This window comes from Homo sapiens, chromosome 3 (genome assembly GCF_000001405.40).
Source record: "Homo sapiens chromosome 3, GRCh38.p14 Primary Assembly".
Classification (NCBI taxonomy): Eukaryota; Metazoa; Chordata; class Mammalia; order Primates; family Hominidae; genus Homo; species Homo sapiens.
Window position 1 is genome coordinate 49,088,541 of NC_000003.12, and position 16,288 is coordinate 49,104,828.

A 16,288-nucleotide genomic window follows, 5' to 3' on the forward strand; every position below is an offset into this window, starting at 1 on the left:
GTTCATTTCCACGGCCCCCCTCGACCTCCCAAAGTGCTGGGATTACATGCCTGAGCCACTGCACCAGGCTTTTGTCTGTTTTTTTTTTTTTTTTTTTTTTAATGAGACAAGGTCTTGCTCCACTACCCAGGATAAAATGCAGTGGTGCATTCATAGATCCCTGCAGCCTCACACTCCTGGGCTCAAACAATCCTCCTGCCTCTGCCTCCCGAGTAGCTGGGACTACAGGTCCATGCTACCACATCCAGCTATTTTTATTTTTCTGTAGAAATGGGGTCTTGCCATCTTGCCCAGGCTGGTCTCCAACTCCGGGGCTCAAGCAATCCTCCCACCTTGGCCTCCCAAACTGCTGGGATTACAGGCATGAGGCACTGTGTTCCACCCATATTTCGATTTTTAAGGATACTAGCCAACTGCAGGGTTTGTGATAGAAGTTATCCCATTAGGCCATTTATATGCCCCATGCCAGAGGAGTCCCTGGTTTAGGGGCATTTTCATCACGGTTCTATTTTCTTTTTTTCTTTTCTTTTTTTTTTTTTAAATGGAGTCTCGCTCTGTCCCCCAGCTTGGAGTGCAATGGTGCCCTCTCAGTTCACTGCAACCTCCGCCTACAGGTTCAAGCGATTCTCCTGCCTCATCTTCCCGAGTAGTTGGGATTACAGGCGCCCATCACCATGCCCTGCTAATTTTTGTATTTTTAGTAGAGACGGGATTTCACCATGTTGGCCAGGCTGGTCTGGAACTCCTGACCTTAGGTGATCCGCCCGCATTGGCCTCCTAAAGTAATGGGATTACAGGCATGAGCCACTGCACCCGGCCATGGTTCTATTTTCAATCAGGAAACTAAAATTTGTATTTTTCCCAAATATTGACGGATTGTAAACTGGCACAACCACTTGCATTATCTAGTGAAGCTGAAAATATCCATTCCACGAACCTGAGCAATTTTACCCATCAGTATATATGAAGGAACTTTTTTTTAAACAAGGGTACTTAATACAAGAATGTTCACAGCAGCATTGTTAAGAGCCAAAAGCTGGAAGCAACCCAGATATCTATCAATAGTGGAATAGATAAATACCTTATGGTGTATTCATACAACAGAATACTACATAAAAAATGGAAATGAACAGCTGCACACAATGTGAACAAATTTCAGAAACATTATGCTAAGACAACATAATACAGCATGACTCCATTTATACAAAACTCATAAGGAAACAAATCTAAACTAGGTTAAGGGCTACGGAGATGGTAAATGTAAAAAGAAGAAGAATGTTATCACAGAATAACAGCTGTCTGTACGGCTTGAGAAGCTGTGATCAGGAAGGGACCCACGAAGGGTTCAGAGATACTGGCATCGTTTTATTTCTTGAAAAAGTAGTACTTTCGCCAGCATTTACTTTATAATTTGTCATTAAATTGTACAGAGATCGCCTAAATTTACATGGATGGATAAATATTTCACAAATTTTAAAACAAAGAAAAACATGGGCGGGCGCAGTGGCTCACGCCTGTAATCTCAGCACTTTGGGAGGCCAAGGTAGGCAGACCACGAGGTCAGGAGTTCAAGACCAGCCTGACCAACATAGTGAAACTCCGTCTCTACTACAAATACAAAAAATTAGCCAGACATCAGCCGGGCACAGTGGCTCACGCCTGTAATCCCAGCACTGTGGGAGGCCGAGGCGGGCGGATCACGAGGTCAGGAGATCAAGACCATGCTGGCTAACACGGTGAAACCCCGTCTCTACTAAAACTACAAAAAATTAGCCGGGCATGGTGGCAGGCACCTGCAGTCCCAGCTACTCGGGAGGCTGAGGCAGGAGAATGGCGTGAACCCAGAAGGTGGAGCTTGCAGTGAGCCGAGATCGTGCCACTGCACTCCAGCCTGGGCAGCAGAGCGAGACTACGTCTCAAAAAAAAAAAAAAAAAAAATTAGCCCAGCGTGGTGGCGGGCACCTGTAATTCCAGCTACTCCAGAGGCTGAGGCAGGAGAATTGCTTGAACCCGGAAGGTGGAGGTTGCAGTGAGCCGAAATCGTGCTACTGCACTCCAGCCTGGGCGACAAGAGTGAAACTCCATCTCAAAAAAAAAAAAAAAAGAGAAAAGAGAAAAAGAGAAAAATATTAGCCTTCTGACACAGCCACCATTTCTACCTACAGTTTTGCCCTGGCCTGAAGAGTGAGACCAAAGGAGCACTCCTTCCCTCTTTCAGCAAAGGAAGAAATTAATCTACCATTTCTTCATGCAGCCACATCAATTTAATAACAGAAATCACAATCTAATGTAATAACTAGGAAAAAATACAAAGGAAGCATTTAAGTGAAGTCTGAAGAGGACTTAAAACATCTGGAACAAAATGCAGTACAACAGAATAACAGAAAAGAACAGGTAATAGGCCAGGCGCGGTGGCTCACGCCTGTAATCCCAGCACTTTGGGAGGCCAAGGTGGGAGGATCCCGAGGTCAGGAGATTGAGACCATCCTGGCTAACAGAGTAAAACCCCGTTTCTACTAAAAAATACAAAAAATGAGACAGGCATGGTGGCGGGAGCCTGCAGTCCCAGCTACTCCGGAGGCTGAGGCAGGAGAATGGCGTGAACCCAGGAGGCAGAGGTTGCAGTGAGCCAAGATTGCACCACAGCACTCCAGCCCGGGCAACAGAGCGAGACTCCGTCTCAAAAAATAATAATAAAAATAAAAAGAAAAGAACAGGTATTCATGTAACACCTAATTCTAAGGCTAATTCAGAAATCAGAGACCCTTACAGATCAAGAGTGGCCATTTAAAAAGCAGACAAGAAAGAAATATGGCACATGAAGTATAAACCACAACTAATTAAACTAAAAGAAAGCATATCCAAAAAAAAAAGCATATCCAAAGTAAGGAAAGACATCCCTGATTCTGAAGCTGCCTTAAAGAAAGGCAGCCACATCCAGAGCCCCTGACTTTGGTTACTTTCCTAGAGCAATTCAAATTTACAAGAAAATTAAACCACTATTTGATCTTTAGTTTGAAATGGCAACATAAGCTGGAGAGAGGATGTGGAACTGCAGAGGTTCTCGAAGAGTTATAGGAAAAATTCATCAGAGAGGACCCGAAGGAAGACATCTAATAAGTAAATCTTAGTTGACAAACTTGGAGAAAAAGTATTTATAAACACCAATTTAAAAGGAAGATCTCAAGCTTAATAGTTAAAAATAAAGATAACCCAGAACAAGCAAGCCTAAAAAATTAATCAAAATTTGGTCGGGCGCGGTGGCTCACGCCTGTAATCCCAGCACTTTGGGAGGCCGAGGGCGGGTGGATCACGAGGTCAGGAGTTCGAGACCAGTCTGATCAACATGGTGAAACCCCGTCTATACTACAAATACAAAAAATTAGCCAGGTGTGGTGCTGCATGCCTGTAATCCCAGTTACTTGGGAAACTGAGGCAGGAGAATCGCTTCAACCAGGGAGGCGGAGGTTGCAGTGAGCCGAGATCACACCCCTGCACTCCAGCCTGGGTGACAGAGTGAGACTCCGTCTCAAAAAAAAAAAAAAAGTCAAAATTTTAAGTGTATCCTAGAAAAACTTTACAGCTTTTCTTTGAACCATTTAGGTCCGTTTAAAAGCTGAGCCTGCAAACGCTTAAATCTGCGGGTTCCACTGACTTATATCCTAAGAGGAGAAAACTGAGCAAGTAGCGAACTGTGGCTGAATTCAAAGATGCCGTTCTCCCACATCTTCATTTTACAGCACCTAATAGTTTCTGGAAGACAGCACCCAGAATTGACAGGATTTGTAATGCTTCAGTATTACCAGAAAAAAAACTGTGCACAGATACTTCCAGGATATGAACAATTTTAACTCACCAGTCACCATGTTGCATGTATTTCTGCTGCTTGTCCTGAGTTCTTAAGACTTCTAATATTCTGAAGAAGATAGAACAAAAAAGTTCCTTCCATCCTCAGCCTCTTTTTATTAATAATTTTAACTTTGTTCTTAAAAACAATACAGTACATTAGAAAGAACTACCCCACCATTATCAAATTTGATGGCTAATTTTACTTCCTCTTAGCTTCCTATTCCTTAAGCTTAATTGAGCAAGACTGTAAATCAAACTAGCAGATGTTTTGTATTAGAAAAAAGAGGTGCCTATTTCTCTAGAACAAACCTAGAACTTCCTTGACACCAAAACACAGCGGCAGGGTCAAAAAAAGAGCTGAAAAGGACTGAAATCCTACACCAAAAGTGACTTTTACAGTGATACACTATCAGATTTTAGTAATTTCTGCTGGGATTTCTGCAATTTCAAAAAAGGTAAAGCACTGATTCTCAGGTTGTTCCATTTTGTTTAAGGCCAACTTTTTGGCTGAGGCAAAGGTGGGCCTTTAATATAATAAAGTAAGCCCCTCCCACTTACGCAAAAGAAAAGCTGCGTTTAAGGATTTAAACTGGCATTTTAGAGCTCGGAGTTCACATGGGCCACATAAGCGAATTCCCTTCCGGAGCGCACAGAGGTGACGTGTATGAATTACGCTTATGGACGTATTAGTTTCTAATGAAAGATAAGCAGGTACCACTCAAGGGCCTTCTAATATTAACCTTCCCTGCCCGGCAGAAAGCCCAGTACAAGGTGAGGAAATCCGAAGGGGCTCACTGCCCTCTCAAACCAAGAGGGCTTGGTTTCCGAAGCAGAGAAACACCCTACCCAAGCACCCGCACCGTACTTGGGCCTCAAGTAACGGCATTCTTCGAGGAGAACGGGCAATCTCGCCCCCCTCACAGAGGAGCGGAACCGCAAGCCAGACAGCAAAGCTGGTTGGTTTCTCTCCAGGCCGAGGCCACGGATGCCCGGGAACGTCACCAGACCAGAAAGGACCCAATCCTCAACCTTCCCAGCGCAACGAGCCGCGGCCGGCCCTCTGCTCAGCAGAAGCCTCCTGCGCGCTCTCGAGGCAGCACCGCCACCCGATATCAGAGCGCGCGCCCCAAAACTGGGGGTCGTCACGGGCGCGCGCTCCAGAAAGCCGCGGTTGCCCACGGGCCACAGCTCCTAGAGCAGAGATATCCGGGCCGGGAACGCGCACGTCGGCGGCCACGCGCACCGAGAGCCGCACAGCGCGCGCGCGTAAAAACAGGCTCAGCCGCGCGCCCGCACCGGCGCGCCATCTCGCGCCGCGCCCACCCAAATCCCCGGGCCACCCCTCCCCCATCCACAGGGCGGGGTGCGCTAGCCCAGGAACGTTTTCGGCTCCGGAGCCGCCCCGAACTCTCCAGGGCCCAGCGGTAGTGGCCCGCCCGCCCCCGCCCGCCGTTGTGTGGGGTGGGCCCCCCGTCTCAGGCCTACAGCTTCGCCGCATCCCCACCCGCACTGGAGCCCTCACCCGGCGACGTCACTGCCGCCGCCGCCGCCGCCTCCGCTGCACCCGCCGGCCCCGCCGCACCGCCAGGGACCCTGGTTCTGCCGTCGTCGCTCCAAGACCGACAGGGTTTTCTCCTCACAGCTCCCTGGGCGCCATCTTACATTCAACCCTCACAGCCAATAGGAGCCGATTGCTCCTCTCGCGATAATCGGGGCGTCGGATCCCGCGAGATCTGGGACTGCCTACCGGCCAAAATTAAAGTGAACGCTTCAGCAGGGGAAGGTGGCCGCGCTTCTGGCCGCTAGAGCGGATAGTGGATCCTAGGGTATGGAGCGGCTCGCTCCGCCCATGGACGCCTCTCCATGTGGGGCGGAGCTAGGGCCGTGGCTTGGCCTAGTAGTGGAGTCTCGGAAGGCTAGGGCTCCAAGCTAGCTCTTTGGACCCACCTTCCGTCGCCCGCCAGAGCCTCCTTTGGTCGAGCACGCCCACGCGGGGCGGGGCCTGGCCAGGCTCGGCCTCTCGCTTAAGGTGGACCCCACAAACTTCTGTCCTGGGCCTGGCGTCCCCAGCCGTGCCCTGCCTGGGAAGCCTCTAGGTTGCTCACCTCCTGGAGGAGTCAGCATCTGGTACTCCCGCTGTCTGCTGCCATCTGAGTTCAGCCTTCCGCAGTTGGGTCCACCTTAAAGCGGGCCCCCGGGTAGCCTAGTGTTTGTATACAGGGAAAATGTGGAAGGCGTTAAAGCTGCAGGCACACTCGGGCCTCAGCAGCAGCCTACACTGCCCCCAGAGGGCTTCCAGCCTGCTGTAGACTCTTTTTGCCTCGGAGCTTTTGCCCTTGTTCCTCTTATCCTGGCAAACTCCCCGTAGTCTTTCGTGATTCCCTTCAGAAGTCACTTCGTTAGAGTAATGTTTTCTGAGGCCCAGGCTGGGTCAGGAACCTCTTCCAGTCTTGCACAGGCCCCAGGGAGACCGCTCCCATACAGTGCTTGGTCACCCATTTCCCCTCCCGTGAACTTGGAAGGCCACCACAGCACGTATGCCCCATCTCACTTTGCCTGGCACGTAGTAGGCACTCAAAAATTATATGCCGAATGGGCCGGGCACGGTGGCTGAAGTCTGTAATCCCAACACTTTGGGAGACCGAGGCGGGTGAATCACCTGAGGTCAGGAGTTTGAGACCAGCCTGGCCAACATGGTGAACCCCGTCTCTACTAAAAATACAAAATTAGCCGAGTGTGGTGGTGCATGCCTGTGATCCCAGCTACTTAAGAGGCTGAGGCAGGAAAACTGCTTGAACCTGGGAGGCAGAGGTTGCAGTGAGCTGAGATCACACCATTGCACTGCAGCTTGGGGGACAAGAGTGAGACTCCGTCTCAAAAATAAAAAAGAATTATAGGCTGATTGGGCGCAGTGGCTCACGCCTGCAATCCCAGCACTTTGGGAGGCCGAGGCGGGCAGATCACCTGGGGTCAGGAGTTCCAGACCAGTCTGGCCAATTTGGCAAAACCCCGTCTCTACTGAAATTACAAAAATTATTCAGGAGTGGTGGCGCCCGCCTGTAATCCCAGCTACTTGGGAGGCTGAGGCACGAGAATCGCTTGAACCCGGGAGGCAGAGGTTGCAGTGAGCCAAGATTGAGCCACTGCACTCCAGCCTGGGCTAGAGTGGAACTCCGTATCAAAAAAAAAAAAAAAAAATTATATGCTGAATGATCAGACTGGGAGCTAGGCCTCTCCACACCAGCAGAAACAAACCTTTTAGATCCCTCTGGCACAGGGGTCCTAACCATGGACAAACACCCCAGGGCCCTCCATTCTCTCAGACCAGGTGCGGAGGGTATGAATCCTACCCAGGCCCCTGCCTTTAAGCACCAAAAAGTGCACCGGTGCTTTCAAAGCTGTCAGTACCACTCTGTTCTGGGAAAGTCCATTCTCACAGACAAAATGTGCAAAAGGCACATCTCCATCCCCCAATCATACCACCACCACCAGCATGTCTTCAGGGCCTTCAGATGCTAGAAGTGCAGAGATAACACACAGACTCTAGGAGAATTTAGCTGTTCTTTATTGACATGGAATTTGGGGTGGCGAGGGTAGCCACACCCTCCAGGAGGATGAGGTAGGTTCAGTGCTTCCAGCTCACACCTTTCCTGGGTCTTCCTTCAGTGTGACAGTTCGGTTAAAGACAAGCTGGAGGGCAGAGGGAAAAGGATGACCACCAACCCAGAACAAGGCCAGGGAGGCCTGGGCAGGTTTCACCACAGACACCTCCCCCTAACATCCTTCTTAAGCCAAAGAAGCCGAGGGACTAAGGGTCAGGAGGCCCGGGTCCTCAATAACTTTGTGACTTTGGGTAAGGGACTGAATGGGGCTCTAGGCTATAGTATTATATGGACCATAACAACCACCGTGGGGGTCCAGGGTATAGTTTTATATGGATTATAACAACCACCATGTTTGCCCCCTACTTTAAGGAGTAAGAAAGACAGGGTGGGCTGGTGCAGTGGCTCACGCCTGTAATCTCAGCACTTTGGGAGGCTGAGACAGGCAGATAATCTGAGGTCAGGAGTTCAAGACCAGCCTGGCCAACATGGCAAAACCCCGTCTCTACTAAAAATACAAAAATTAGGCCAGGCGCAGTGGCTCACGCCTGTAATCCCAGCACTCTGGGAGGCCGAGGCAGGCGGATCATGAGATCAGGAGATCGAGACCATCCTGGCTAACACGGTGAAACCCCGTCTCTACTAAAAAATAGAAAAAATTAGCTGGGAGTGGTGGCGGGCGCCTGTAGTCCCAGCTATTTGGGAGGCTGAGGCGGGAGAATGGCGTGAACCCGGGAGGCAGAGCTTGCAGTGAGCCGAGATTGTGCCACTGCACTCCAGCCTGGGCGACATGTGAGACTCCGTCTCAAAAAAAAAAAAAAAAAAAAAAAAAAAAAAAAAAAAATTTGCCGGGCGTGGTAGCATGTGCCTGTAATCCCAGCTACTTGGAAGGCTGAGGCAGGAGAATGGCTTGAGCCTGGGAGGCGGAGGTTGCAGTGGGCCGAGATCGTGCCACTGTACTCCAGCCTGGGCAACAGGGCGAGATACTGTTTCAAAAAAAGAAAAAAAAAAAAAAAAGGATGGCAGGGTGGCTGGGCACAGTGGCTCATGCCTATAATCCCAGCACTCTAGGAGGCTGAGACAGGAGGACTGCTTGAAGCCAGTAATTCAAGACCAACCTGGGCAACATAGTGAGAACTTGCCTCTACAAAAAGTTTTAAAATTAGCCAGGCATGGTAGTGTGCACATGTAGTCTCAGCTAAGGCAGGAGAATAGCTTGAGCCCAGTAGTTTGAGGCCACAGTGAGCTATGATTGCACCACTTCACACCACCCTGGGCAAGAGTAAGACCCCGTCTCTAAAATAAATAAAAAGAAAGGTTATTAGCTGCCTTAACGAAAGATATTAAAAATAATATCTTTCGGGTGTTTCACCATGTTGGCCAGGGTGGTCTCGAACTCCTGACCTCTGGTGGTAAGCCCTGACCTCTGGTGATCAGCCTGCCTTGGCCTCCCAAAGTGCTGGGATTACAAGTGTGAGCCACCATGCCCTGCCTCAAAAAATAATAATTAAAAAAAAAAAAGAGGTCGGGTGCAGTGGCTCATGACTGTGATCCCAGCACTTTGGGAGGCCGAGGCGGGCAGATCATGAAGTCAGGAATTCGAGACCATCCTGGCCAACATGGTGAAACCCCATCTCTACTAAAAATACAAAAAATTAGCCGGGTGTGGTGGCAGGCGCCTGTAATCCCAGCTACTCGGGAGGCTGAGGCAGGAGAATCACTTGAACCTGGGAGGCAGAGGTTGCAGTGAGCCGAGATGGTGCCATTGCACTCCAGCCCCGGGCGACAGTGCAAGACTGTCTCAAAAAAAAAGGCAGCCTTCATACAAAATTTTGTGCCTGGAGTTATCCTCAGTGCCAGTTTCCTCACTAGTAGAATATGAATACCAACTCCCTCAGGTGGTGAGGATTAACTAAGGGAATGTATGCAGAGCACTTGGCACAATGAACGGCAGCCACTGTCACTGCTGCAGATGAGGGCAGGTGAGTAAAGTCAAGCACCTTTCCCTGATGGCTGTCTGGATCCACGGAGAAATATCCAAGACGCTCAAACTGGAACTTGTCGAAGGGTTTTGCCAGGGCCACAGAGCAGTCCACTAATGCTGCATCCACCACGTGTAGTGATGCCTGCAGGCAGGGAACTCAGGCAACCATCCAACCAGGGAGGCCTACCTCCCTCACCCCAAACCTCATGAACCTACCAGGTTCAGGTCACTTAAAAATCCACCAGGCACCTCAGTAGGATCTTCAGGGTTCTTGTGCTGGAATCTGCAGCCAAAGTGAAGGTCATACCCCCAGCTGGGCAGCCATAGCAGGCAATGTGCATCTTGTACCTGCCCCCACCCCAGCTCTGTTCACTCACAGTCGCTCATAGAGGCGAACCTCACACATCAAAGGCTGTGACACCCAGTGAATAAAGGCCTTTGGCTTCTCTCCAGCATCTGCCCGTCTGCAGGTCACCTCCAGACTCTCTACACAACCACTGGGGCCCTGGAAGTGGGGGGAGGGGAGCAGCAATTAGACCCGGGAACCACAACCAGGACTGCAGGCTATACTCACATCTTGGCCCCAGCAGGCACTGCAGTAGGAAGGCTGCAGCTGGCTCTCACCTTGACAACATGCTGCAGCTCAATGACGTAGCCTGTATGCCTCAGGCCCACAGGCTGGCCCCAAGCCAGGCGCTTAAATCCTGGCTCTGGCTCCTAGAGATAGGAAGTGGGGTAGACACATGAGGCTGCAAGGGTCAAACAAGTGGGGAAGCTTCCCTACCCCCGTGTCTGGCAAAGATTGGTTCATCTGAAGCAGGAAGTAGATGGACTGACAGAGATGAGGAGATGAAAGGTTCCCAGTACCAGACTCAGCAGCAAACGGGACCCTCCACCCCCACAATTTACCTCCTTGAAGTCAGTCCTCTCAATGAAGACAATGGGTGCAAAGGGAACCTGATGGAAGCCTTTGGTCTCATCAGCTGGGAAGTTGGGCACCTGGATGTCCAAGGACTATAGCAGGAGACAGGAGACAGGTATGAGTCATACTCAGCATTAGGACCCCCATGCCCAGAGCCAAGTGTACCCCCAGCTACACACACACATGTGACACACATGTTGAGGCAGGCCCACCTTGGCAGCAGGAAAGTTGGTGATGATGACCCGTAGTGACTCCAGCACAGCCATGGCTCGTGGGGCTGTGTCATTCAGCACATCACGCACACAGGCTTCTAGAAGATGTGGCTCCATTGTGGTTTGTGCCACAGTCACTCCCACCTGGCAGGAAAGTTCAGCATCAGTCACAGCTACAATCACAAACTGCCACACTCAACCCCCAATGTATCTACCCAACCTGCTGGGCTATACCCGGGCACAGAAGTTGTTGATGGCCTCAGGTGGGAAGCCCCGCCGTCGCAGGGCCGTGAGTGTAAAGAGCCGTGGGTCATCCCAGTCCCTGTGGATAAGAAGGTGGTGAGAAGGCCTTTGGGAGCATATGCCATTAACCTTTCATAAGCCAAACAGCCGCACCTACCGCACAGCACCAGTTGCTACAAGCTGGAGGATCTTCCTCTTAGAGACAACAGCATAGTGCAGGTTGAGGCGGCCATACTCCCACTGCACAGGGCAATAGACGTCCAGTGCATTGCAAAGCCAGAAGTAGGAAGAGCGTCTGGGGTGGGAGAGTAGGGTTAGCACTGGCCAGCTCTGGAACCAGGCAGAGACCACAGGAAGGGCTGCTGGAATTCCACTGGCCCTACCACCCCATGGACCCAGCTCCCTCACCGGGCCTGGAATTCCTTGGTGCAGAGTGAGTGAGTGATGTGCTCGATGGAGTCACAGAGGCAGTGTGTGTAGTCGTAGGTGGGATAGATGCACCTGTGGGGCATAGGCAGTGGGCCCTACCATCCAGCCCTACTCTGCCCTACCCCATGGCCCATCGCCCTGCTCGGCAGCCCCACCACCCCACCCCATTCTACACCCACCATTTGTCCCCTGTGCGGTGGTGTGGTGTATACTTGACTCGATAGGCTACAGGGTCCATCTTGCCATCCTCCATCACCAGCTTCATCCGTAGTGTGGCCTCGCCCTCTGAAAACTTGCCCTTGCGCATTGCCTGAGGGGAACAAGGACTCAGGCTGTCTCTAAGCACAGGAGCATCTCATTCTCAGCACCTTGGCCCACCCAAACCCAGATGCTCCTCTAGGACCCCACCTCAAAGAGCAGCAGTGACTCCTCCATGGGACGGTCTCTCCAGGGTGAAGGCAGAGTATTATGGCCTTTGAGCTCCTCTCCTCGCTGGTGGCACACATAAGCCAGACCCCTGTGGGGAAGCGGTGTGAGTGCCCAGCATGGCTGTGACCTAGTCAGTCTGCCTGGCTCTACGTCATGGCCCTGGCCTTACCTGCGGATGAGCTCCACAGCCCACGCATATAGCTGGTCAAAATAGTCAGACGCATATGTGACTTTGTAAGGTGTGTAGCCTGGGGCAAAATGAAACAAAGTATGAGCAGCCAGCCACAAACACCCAGTGGGCAGGCCATGGCCCAAGGAGAGGCCCACTAACCACCAGCCCTTCTAGGCTTTGCCTAGTCCATACCTAGCCAGGCTACCATGTCACAGATGGCCGTGAAGAACTTTGCTTCCTCCTTCTCAGGGTTGGTGTCATCAAAACGCAGAAAACAGATGCCATTGTTGGCCTAGGAAAGTTGCACCATCTGTGAACTCCCACATCATCCATCAGCCCCACAATCCTGTTTATCAAACTAGGATATTCACAGAGCACTCTCATGTCAGAATTTTCTTTTTTTTTGAGATGGAGTCTTGATTATCTTGCACCATCTTGGCTCACTGCAGCCTCCACCTCCTGGGTTTCTCCTGCCTCAGCTTCCCAGTAGCTGAAACTACAAGCGTGTGCCACCATGGCCAGCTAACTTTTGTATTTTTAGTAGAGATGGGGTTTCACCATGTTGGCCAGATTGGTTTCGAACTCCTGACCTCAAGTGATCCACCCACTTTAGCCTCCCGAAGTGTTGAGATTACAGGCGTGAGCCACCCAACCCGGACTCATGTCAGAATTAAAAATGTCTTCAAGAGCTTCTCTCACCTTCCTGTATCTAACCTAGCATCTTTCTAAGCCTAGGGACTGCACTGGCAACTCCCCCAAATTTGAACTCACTGACTCCTCAGAGGGAGGGAGCTATTTATTCCAATAAGCTCAATAGATTCCTAGGTATCTGTCACACATGTGGTTCCTTTCCATGGCCTCTGCCCACCTGGGTACATTATTGGGAGCAGACAGCAAGGCAGGGATATGGTATCCACTCATGGGAACAGCAAGTGGTCATCTTGCTTGCCAGGTCCCTAGACACATGCTTACCTTGGCATAGCCAAAGTTGAAATTGATGGCTTTGGCATGTCCAATATGCAGGATTCCATTGGGTTCTGGCGGGAACCGGGTACGTACCTAAAATAAGGGGGATGGGAAAAGAGAAATAAAGTCTGAGCTCAGATGACCTTAAAGAAACAGATGTTCCCTCCCAGGAAGGCCATGGTGATGGGTGAGATGGGGCAGTATGGACGCAGCCCAGGCACTCAGGCAGGTGTTTGATGGCACAAGCTCACATGGCCACATCCCCACACACCTGCCCACCAGTAATCTCCAGGTGCTGCTTTAGTAGATTCATGGTGTGTGGAGTGACCACATAGCCTGGGGTCTTGTAGTTCTCACCTGCCAGGACCAGAATAAGCCTAAGGACCAGGCTGCAGCCAAAGCCTCTGACCCCAGGGGCCTGACTATAGGAGCTGCTGCCAAGATCCAGCCCTCCCCAGGGTTTTGACATGCCCACTAACCAGGCTTGTGGAACTTAAGGGCCTCCCCCCGGAGCTGCTCCATCAGAGACAGGGTCTGGTCAGCAGTCTCGCCTGTGGGGAACAAAACAAGGAAAACTTGTCCTCTAGATACATTTACCATATCCTACAGCCAGAACAGAACTGAGTAGACCCCTATTCCCTCAATTCCAGAGACAAGATATCTAGAGCCAGACATCTGAGGCCTCTCATGCCAGTCTCTGGGCAAAGGGAACAAAAGAAACACCAGGAATCCCAGTCTTGAGACAGAAGTCAGGGTACTGAGTAAGCCAAGGGCCTGAGGAGCCTGTAAGGACTCTTCTGAGGAGGTTCAGAAGTCAGGGAGCTGAATGCTGTGACAGGAGTCTCAAGCTTCTCACCATTCTCCACCACATCCTTTGCCGTCCTCCGGTCTGTTTCTTCTAGCCGAGCTTTTGCCACCTGAAAGAAGCCCCAGGTGCTTCAGAAAATGGCATCAAATTTTCTCTTGGATAGGGTCTTGGGATCCCTGTGGTCAGACACTTCCTTCCCCAGCCTGAAGTCTCACCATACCTCACCTCACCCTCAGGGACTCAGGGCCATGCCCATCCCTACCTTGAACTTCTTCTCCAGATCAGCCTCCAACTTGGGGCCCAGAAGGTGGAGGACCTGAGCAGAGACCAGAATCAGGCAGAGGCAGGAGTATCCTCTTTCAAGGAGCCCCTGACTGATCCTACCCACCAACCCAAGGCTTCCTGGCCTATCTACCAGCACTGACTGAAAAAACCTACCTAGCCCATCCCATCTCTTCTCATGTGGGTCTGCTAGCTTAAAATGCTCTTGCTCTTGTTGCCCAGACTGGAGTCTTGCTCATGTTGCCCAGGCTGGAATGCAATGGCACAGTCTCCGCTCACTGCAACCTCCGCCTCCTGGATTCAAGCGATTTTCCTACCTCAGCCCTTCTGAGTACCTGGGACTGCATGTGCCCGCCACCACACCCAGCTAATTTTTGTACTTTTTGTAGAGATGGGGTTTCACCATGTTGGCCAGGCTGTTCTCAAACTCCTGACCTCAGGTGATCTGCCCACCTCAGCCTCCCAATAGTGTTGGGATTACAGGTGTGAGCCACCATGCCCAGCCCCCTCCCACCTTTTTTTATTGTTGTTGATTTTGAGACAGGGTCTCATTCTGTACTCCAGGATGGAGTGCAGTGGTGCAATCAGAGCTTACTGCAGCCTTGATCTCTTAGATTCAAGCAATCTTCCCACCACAGCCCCACAAATTGCTGGGACTACAGGTATACACCACCATGTCTGGCTAATTTTTAAATTTTCTGTAGAGAGGAGTTCTCAATATGTTGCTCAGGCTGGTCTTGAACTCCTGGGCTCAAGTAATCCTCCTGCCTCAGCCTCCCAAAGTGCTGGGATCAGAAGCGTGAGCCACCATGCCCAGCCCTCTTCCTGCCTTTTATCCCTTAGTGGATTCCAGGCTCTGTTCATGCCAGAGTCTTTGCCAGCTTCAGCTTAGTGAAGCACGCTCACCTGCATGTCCACTTCATTCTTGATCATTTTGCCATCTGCCCACTTCAGCACAGCCCGAGCCTCTCCTAGAAGCATAGGCACAAGGAGCTGCAGAAAGGCAAAAAAGAGTACTCCCCCCACCTCTTTCCCAAGGAAAGGTCCTGGCTGACCACCAGAACCAGAGCCTGAGCCCAGCCAGACCACTTTAAGTCACTCCTGTTCCTTCCCCCACCTCCTTCTCACTCGTGCCCAGAAGAAAAGGCATGACCAGAGAGAACAATATAGCCCCGTTCCAGGCCCTGCTCACCCATCAGCAGCCCCATGTTGAAATGGTAACGTTCCACCAGGAGCTGGGGCCGGTGCCTGTTAATAGCAGCCTCCACCTGCAGAAAGCCAAACCATGTGGTTCAGGAAAGCCACCTTTAGAGATATTCTGGGAACCCACACCCTCACTCTGGGTCTTCCTGAGGAGGGAAACTGAGCCACTCCTTTCCATGGCCAGGACTGGGGAGGCAGACGATGCCTGGGGAAAGACTCACAGCCTCCTCAATCTGCTCTGGGGTCACAATGACACCCACGCCACATTCCCGCTCGAAGTCCACAGTGTCGATGGGGTCCAAGGGGTGACTCCGCACATACTCAAGGGCAGCTGAGAAGAAAGAGCCCGTGAGTTTGTGGCATCTCTGCTCCAAGAAGTGGACAGACAGGGTCCTAATCTCATGAAACTCCAAGGATAGTCTGGCCTCCTGAAAAGTTAAGCCCTGGCACCACCACCCTAGAGAACACAGGGAAGAAAGAAGCACGTGTCGAGAGTGGATCCCCCCTCAGACCCTGACAGTTCCCGTGTCAGTCTCACCATAGGCCACCCCTTCCATGCCTCAGTGCCTGTGCAGAACTAGGTGTCTAGAAAGAAACTGGAGGACTTGGCAAAAAGGGAAGACAGGGGTCTTGGCTGAAGGGAGGCATTGGTGCGAACTGGCAGGACAGGTAGGGGTCTCACCGCTTAGCTGGGGCTCAGTGTGGATCTTCTTACTGGCTATGTAGCTTACAAGGAAGGAGAGACGCCGGGTATCCCTGAGTCGGGAGGCCAAGCCATATAACAGGATCCCGGTAGCTTTGTCAATGGTGGAACCCAGGGTCTGCTGAGCCTGAGGTCAGAGGGGTCAAGAGAGAAGCCCCGCGCTCAGTGAGAGGAAAGGGCGGGACAAACGGGGCAGGTCGGGATCTGGACCCCGCCCCGCGCTGCGTTGCAGCATGGTCTGCAAACCAGGCCGGGGGCAGAGGGGCTCGCACCTGAGTAGCGGCCTCGCGCAGCTGCGCGCTCAGAGCCGAGTTCTTGAGCGTCTCGCGGGCCTTCTGCTCGCTCAGGCCGAGGCTAGTGAAGAGCGACAGGGAGTCTAGAGCCGCCATTGCAGAGACACCGGAAACTAAAAGAAACTTAGGCCCCAGTCTGCAGGTCGGCATTCACTCGCTGACCAATGAGAGTGAAGCCTCCGGGGAGAGCC

General features: G+C 51.6%; 2 protein-coding genes and 1 non-coding gene across 15 annotated transcripts in view, besides 7 other annotated features; all 3 read right to left on the minus strand.

Annotated features, from left to right (window-relative positions):
• The window catches only part of QRICH1 (glutamine rich 1), a 64,667-nt gene extending 58,834 nt beyond the window's left edge, over window positions 1-5,833 (minus strand). Inside the window, exons 1-2 of one of the 10 annotated variants that reach the window (NM_017730.4) lie at window positions 5,372-5,531; window positions 3,857-3,916 (exon numbers count right to left, since the gene is read on the minus strand). The gene's annotated coding sequence lies outside the window, so the exon portion shown is untranslated. Of the gene's footprint in view, window positions 1-3,856; window positions 3,917-4,407; window positions 5,071-5,353; window positions 5,532-5,596 lie in introns of those variants that run through there. The other 9 variants (NM_001320580.2, NM_001320581.2, XM_047448399.1 and 6 more) reach the window with 9 other exon arrangements.
• Window positions 4,655-5,167: an enhancer, noted in NCBI's record as "H3K27ac hESC enhancer chr3:49130628-49131140 (GRCh37/hg19 assembly coordinates)". NCBI's record gives its function as "activates a minimal SCP1, AML or CMV promoter by ChIP-STARR-seq in primed H9 embryonic stem cells {active_cell/tissue: H9 hESC(primed)}" and the evidence as "EXISTENCE:reporter gene assay evidence [ECO:0000049][PMID:30033119]".
• Window positions 5,166-5,415: a silencer, noted in NCBI's record as "silent region_14353". NCBI's record gives its function as "represses an Ori minimal core promoter by ATAC-STARR-seq in GM12878 lymphoblastoid cells {active_cell/tissue: GM12878}" and the evidence as "EXISTENCE:reporter gene assay evidence [ECO:0000049][PMID:35858748]".
• Window positions 5,536-5,655: an enhancer, noted in NCBI's record as "active region_19851". NCBI's record gives its function as "activates an Ori minimal core promoter by ATAC-STARR-seq in GM12878 lymphoblastoid cells {active_cell/tissue: GM12878}" and the evidence as "EXISTENCE:reporter gene assay evidence [ECO:0000049][PMID:35858748]".
• Window positions 5,766-6,105: an enhancer, noted in NCBI's record as "active region_19852". NCBI's record gives its function as "activates an Ori minimal core promoter by ATAC-STARR-seq in GM12878 lymphoblastoid cells {active_cell/tissue: GM12878}" and the evidence as "EXISTENCE:reporter gene assay evidence [ECO:0000049][PMID:35858748]".
• Window positions 7,392-16,217, minus strand: QARS1 (glutaminyl-tRNA synthetase 1). Of its 4 annotated transcripts, none has more exons than NR_073590.2 (24): window positions 16,077-16,217; window positions 15,833-15,931; window positions 15,323-15,432; window positions 15,091-15,166; window positions 14,805-14,869; window positions 13,879-13,932; window positions 13,665-13,725; window positions 13,288-13,359; window positions 13,080-13,165; window positions 12,815-12,901; window positions 12,035-12,134; window positions 11,840-11,918; window positions 11,650-11,758; window positions 11,421-11,551; window positions 11,221-11,313; window positions 10,970-11,107; window positions 10,804-10,891; window positions 10,570-10,713; window positions 10,345-10,449; window positions 10,060-10,152; window positions 9,813-9,940; window positions 9,652-9,718; window positions 9,452-9,577; window positions 7,392-7,539 (listed from the first exon to the last, which is right to left on the minus strand). NR_073590.2 is itself a non-coding variant. In NM_001272073.2 (24 exons), the coding sequence occupies exons 1-24, from the start codon at window positions 16,191-16,193 to the stop codon at window positions 7,489-7,491; spliced, it is 2,295 nt and encodes a 764-aa protein (NP_001259002.1). In that variant the 5' UTR covers window positions 16,194-16,217; the 3' UTR covers window positions 7,392-7,488. The 4 variants fall into 4 exon arrangements, 3 of the variants coding, with proteins under 3 accessions (NP_001259002.1, NP_005042.1, XP_016862454.2); NM_001272073.2 differs by having other exon boundaries at window positions 15,817-15,931; NM_005051.3 differs by having other exon boundaries at window positions 15,784-15,931.
• On the minus strand, window positions 11,314-11,374 carry MIR6890 (microRNA 6890). The gene has a single exon (NR_106950.1). It is a non-coding gene; the product is annotated as a microRNA 6890 (primary transcript).
• Window positions 11,814-12,314: an enhancer, noted in NCBI's record as "H3K4me1 hESC enhancer chr3:49137787-49138287 (GRCh37/hg19 assembly coordinates)". NCBI's record gives its function as "activates a minimal SCP1, AML or CMV promoter by ChIP-STARR-seq in primed H9 embryonic stem cells {active_cell/tissue: H9 hESC(primed)}" and the evidence as "EXISTENCE:reporter gene assay evidence [ECO:0000049][PMID:30033119]".
• Window positions 14,789-15,439: an enhancer, noted in NCBI's record as "H3K27ac-H3K4me1 hESC enhancer chr3:49140762-49141412 (GRCh37/hg19 assembly coordinates)". NCBI's record gives its function as "activates a minimal SCP1, AML or CMV promoter by ChIP-STARR-seq in naive H9 embryonic stem cells {active_cell/tissue: H9 hESC(naive)}" and the evidence as "EXISTENCE:reporter gene assay evidence [ECO:0000049][PMID:30033119]".
• Window positions 15,989-16,178: an enhancer, noted in NCBI's record as "active region_19853". NCBI's record gives its function as "activates an Ori minimal core promoter by ATAC-STARR-seq in GM12878 lymphoblastoid cells {active_cell/tissue: GM12878}" and the evidence as "EXISTENCE:reporter gene assay evidence [ECO:0000049][PMID:35858748]".

Coding starts and splice junctions, on each gene's coding strand:
- QARS1 (NM_005051.3), bottom strand. CDS start 16,193: ATGGCGGCTCTAGACTCCCTGTCGCTCTTCACTAGCCTCGGCCTGAGC. Junction 10,892..10,969: donor GTAGCAACTGGTGCTGTGCG/GTAGGTGCGGCT, acceptor TCTTATCCACAG/GGACTGGGATGACCCACGGC. Junction 10,153..10,344: donor AGAGGACTGACTTCAAGGAG/GTAAATTGTGGG, acceptor TCCTATCTCTAG/GAGCCAGAGCCAGGATTTAA.